General features: G+C 47.2%; 1 annotated feature.

Moving 5' to 3' along the window:
• Nucleotides 3,843-4,500: a transcriptional cis regulatory region, noted in NCBI's record as "candidate enhancer chr1.3691 targeted for multiplex CRISPR interference". NCBI's record gives its function as "positively regulates CD52 gene expression in K562 cells {active_cell/tissue: K562}" and the evidence as "EXISTENCE:mutant phenotype evidence [ECO:0000015][PMID:30612741]".

Raw genomic sequence — 4,871 nt, forward strand, 5'->3', positions numbered from 1 at the left:
GGCACCTGTAATCCCAGCTACTTGGAAGGCTGAGGCAGGATAATTGCTTGAACCCAGGAGGCAGAGGTTGCAGTGAGCTAAGATTGTGCCACTGCACCCCATCCTGGGTGACAGAGCGACTCTCTCAAAAAAAAAAGAAGAAAGGAAAGAAGGAAGGAAGGAAGGAAAGGCTATCAAACTTCCTTCAAGTAGCCTGTGCCCCAGCTGTGCTAAATGACTCACAAGGCCATTGTGCCTGATGTTTCCTCTGCCCTTTCCCTTCTCCCTCCCCTTTCCATCAGCCCCCTACTCATCCTCCTCTTGTGGGGTCTTCTCTGGCTCCAACTGTTGCTCACTGCCCCCCAACCCCACATTCCACAGCATCTGTGGGCACCTCAATGCAGGGCTCCCTGGCTGTGGTCACCTCTTTAAAAGGCCTCACACCAGCTGGGTGCAGTGGCTTATGCCTGCAGTCCCAACACTTCGGGAGGCCAAGGTGGGAAGATCGCTGAGGCCAGGAGCTCAGGACAAGCCTGGGCAACAGAGTGAGACCCTGTTTCTATAAGATATTTAAAAATTAGTTGGATGCAGTGGTGCAAGCCTGCATTCTTCCTAGCTACTCAGAGGCTGAGGCGGGAGGATTGCTTGAGCCCTGAGCCCAGGAGTTTGAGACCAATCTCAGCAACACAGGGAGACCCCATCTCTACAAAAAACTAAAAAAAAAAAAAAAAAAAAATTAGCCAAGTGTGGTGGTAGACACCCATGGTCCCAGCTGATTGGGAGACTGGGGTGAGAGGATCACTTAAGCCTGGAAGGTCAAGGCTGCAGTGAGTTATGATTGCGCCACTGCGATCGAGCCTGGGTGACAGAGGGAGACCCTGTCTCAAAACAAAACAAAAATAAAAGGCCTCCCATCTATGTGTCATAATTATTGGTTTGAATCTGTCTCTCCTCCCTTTGAATTCCTCAAAGCTTGGGGACTCCCTTGTGTCCCCACTACCTAATGCAGAGTCTGGCGCAGGGAATGTATTCAACATTTTTTTAGCATTGCGTGAATGAATGAAAGAAATGAAAGAAGCAACCTGAGGGCCACCAGCTCTCATTTTTGTATGAAGATGTTCAGAATCATGCTTTGGGTTTGTATTGTACTTTTGACATTCTCAAGCTGTTTCTGATATTGCTTGTTTCATTTGATTCACATCATCACCAGAAGGTAGGCAGGGAAGGGAACATGACTCCCTATAGCTGACAAGGACCCCAGACACAGGTACAGTGACCTGCTCAAGGTCACAGGAGAGATGGCAGCAGTTGGTGGAGCATTCCTACCTCTTTATCTGACGCTGGGGCCCCCTTCACTGCTGATATGGTTGGCTGTGTCCCCACCCAAATCTCATCTTGAATTGTAGTTCCCATAATTCTCACGTGTTTTGGGAGGGCCTGGGTGGAGATAATTGAACCATGGGGGCAGTTCCCCCATACTGTTCTCATGGTAGTGAATAAGTCTCATGAGATCTGATGGTTTTATAAGGGGAGACCCCTCTCACTTGGCTCTCATTTTCTTTCTTGTTCTCTGCCACGTAAGATACGTCTTTCACCTTCCACCATGATTGTGAGGCCTCCCCAGCCACATGGAACTGAGTCCATTAAACCTCTTTTACTTTATAAATTACCCAGTCTTGGGTATGTCTTTATAAGCAGCTTGAGAATGGACTAATTCAACTGCCTTCCTGATGTTCCTGTAAACCTCCCATATAAAAGTTGTATCAGGAAAAGGAGAGAAGCTTTGTCTCCAAGGATCCATTGACCCACTTGGGGGAACCACTCCTTCTTAGCAAAAATCCAAACCCACACCCCCAAGGAAGGAAGGAAGCATCTGTAACAGTAGATGCACTGGTCTCAGAGCCAGCAAACTGAGCTCTGGTCTTAAGATTTCTACTCTCTAATCATTTGATCTTGGATAGTTTGCTTACTTTCTCTGAGTCTCAGTTTCCTGAGAAGTGACAAGTGCCTGCTTCTCAGGGCTGACGGGACTCTATGCCCTGTAAAGTATCATATGCATGTGAGGGGAAAGACAAAAATGACATGGCACACACAAAGCAGGGTATCCGATCCAGGCTAGGTTGTGCCCTAGATGGAGCCCAGTGTGCAGAGATCACTGGCACAGCCACGGGGCAGGCTGCCCTCTGTCACACTCTTCCACTTCTCCTTCCATTGCCCTATGTCCTACTAAGGGAGAGCAGGGTAGACAGTTTCACTTCCACCTGCAAGAAGGCATTTTCCTAAATTATTTGACAGCATAAAAATGATCTGGGCCGGGCACCAGCCTGGCCAACATGGTGAAACCCCATCTCTACTAAAAATACAAAAATTAGCTGGGCATGATGGCGGGCGCCTATAATCCCAGCTACTCAGGAGGTTGAGGCAGAATTGCTTGAACACAGGAGGTGGAGGTTGCAGTGAGCCGAGATCACGCTACTGCACTCCAGCCTGGGCAATAGAGCAAGACTCCGTCTCTGGGGAAAAAAAAAAATGATCTGCTTACTGGTAGCTTATAGATCCCTCAGGCTCTGACCAGCCTCCCCACATTACCCTGTGGCCATTTTGCTACTTAGTTTTCCCTCCATGGGACAGGTAGGGGGCACATAACCCATAGCACTGACCCTGCCTATCTTTATCTTTATCCCTCAGGGCCTGAGGGACAATTACTTGTCTGAAGGCCCCAGAAAAAGCCACACTCCCCTCTTCAGTTACTCATCATCAAATCTTATAAGGCTTTGAGGAGGATAAAATGAAATCACTGGCTGCGGTGACAATTTACGCCCTCTCTCTGGAAATGGCCAGCTGCTATACCACAATTATTTTTTATTATGTTCCCATTATTTAAGGTCATGAGTTCAGTCTCTGTTCTTACACAGTTAACTTTATCCAGAGTTGGGAAGATCTATTCCAAAACTGTAGACAGACGGTGCCACTCCTTCTAGCCAGCACCACTCCCAAAGTACTGTGTAGTAAATGTTTGCTCGCCTGTCCTATCCATAAGCCAATAAACTCCTCGAAGGTGAGGAATCTGCCTTATTCATATAAGCACTTCCTGTAACGGGCATAATGCTGGCATACTGTGGACATTCAATAATTAGAGCTACTGTGTACTGCACAGTGTGCTAAGCATGTTTTATATATCATCTTGTTTATATATCATCCTTACAATAATGCTGCCGAGTGGAAATACTATTATTATTCCTGTTTTACACATAAGGAAACTGAGACTCAGAAAGTCGAAGTAACTTGTCCAGGGTAACATGGCTAGGAAGTAGCAGAATCAGGATTGGATAGAGACTGACTAGCTTCAGAATCTTTTTTCTTACCGTTTCTTATAGCTGGCTCAGTGCCATCCACCTCCACTGCTGGAAACCAAAAATCCTTTGCTTTGGCTGGGCACGGTGGCTCATGCCTATAATCCCAGCACTTTGGGAGGCCGAGGCGGGTAGATTGCCTGAGGTCAGGAGTTCAAGACCAGCATGGCCAACATGGTGAAACCCTGTTTCTACTAAAAAATACAAAAATTAGCCAGGCATGGTGGCGGGCACCTGTAATCCCAGCTACTTGGAAGGCTGAGGCAGGAGAACCGCTTGAAACCGGGAGGCAGAGGTTGCAGTGAGCTGAGATCGTGCTACTGCACTGTAGCCTGGGCAACGGAGTGAGACTTCGTCTCAAAAAAGAAAAAAAAATCCTTTGCTTCCCAGTGCCATTTCCGAATGGCTCCAGCTGAGAGGCAGAGCCAGCTCTGATTCTCTGTCCTGTATTCCTGACCTTCTCTGAGGCTCATACCCTTTCTGTTTTCCCAGTTAACCTCAGTTATTCTCCTGTTTTCCCAACGGCAGAATAAAGGATTTACTTTTTTCCCTAGTGCCTTTCCTTACACTTGATGTCTGCAATAGTGGGTGGCAAGGATTTCTTATCACGTGCACAGAGGCTAACTGAAAAGGAGAAATTCATAATGATTAAAATAATGAAGCAGTTGAGGGACACCTCAGGCTCCAGCCTGTCCTCAGGGGAGCCTCACATCCTAATCTGGACTGCGCCACTGGCTCCCTCCCCAGCGGGGCTCATTTGCCTGTCTGTAAAATGATGATAATAATGCTGACCTTTCTCATGGGAAGAAGAAGGAGAGGAGATATGTGGGAGGAGTTAAGGCTTTGGACAGGAGAAGATTAGAGATGAAAAGCACGAGTTTCAGGCTGGTTTCTGAGCATGACATCATTCCTTTCAGGAGTCGAGTCTCTTTTAATTCATGTTTATGAAGCTGCTTTTTGGAGTTCCTTGAATTCCCCATTTTGCTAATTTTCCACATCCTATAATAAGAGTCAAAGAAGGGGAGACTGAAGTCCAGAGGTTGCTGAGATTCAAGGATTCAAGCCTTTGCCAGGAGACATGAGGGACCCAAAGGCTCACAAAGCCTCCCTAGCCCTCACCAAGCAATGAAGAGTGGGGAAAATAAAAGCGGAAATTGTGGTGACAGCCTGGAAGGTGGCTTCGGCTAGCTCGTGGGTAGGAGAATGCCCTGTTGGAAGACAAACAGGTCACAGGGAGGGAGGCTCACTAGGAGCTTGGGAGGGGTCTTTTGTCACCTGACTATCCCTCCAGGTCCAGGCATGGACTGCTAAAGCAAGCACTGTCGACTGAGGACGTGTGGGCTCGGCAAAGATAAAAATGGTATTTATCAGAAGAGAGAAAAATGTATTCAGCTCTCAGTTATGATTTAGACGCAGCCGTGGGCAGCATAGCAATGAGCTCCTTATTTTAAGCAAGCGGCAGAGAGATGAAAATAGATCAAGTGTGTTGAATCAAGCCAGGTTTTTGCAATCAGTGAACTAGATTTAAGACCACACCTT

The sequence above is a fragment of the Homo sapiens genome, chromosome 1, assembly GCF_000001405.40.
Source record: "Homo sapiens chromosome 1, GRCh38.p14 Primary Assembly".
NCBI lineage: Eukaryota > Metazoa > Chordata > Mammalia > Primates > Hominidae > Homo > Homo sapiens.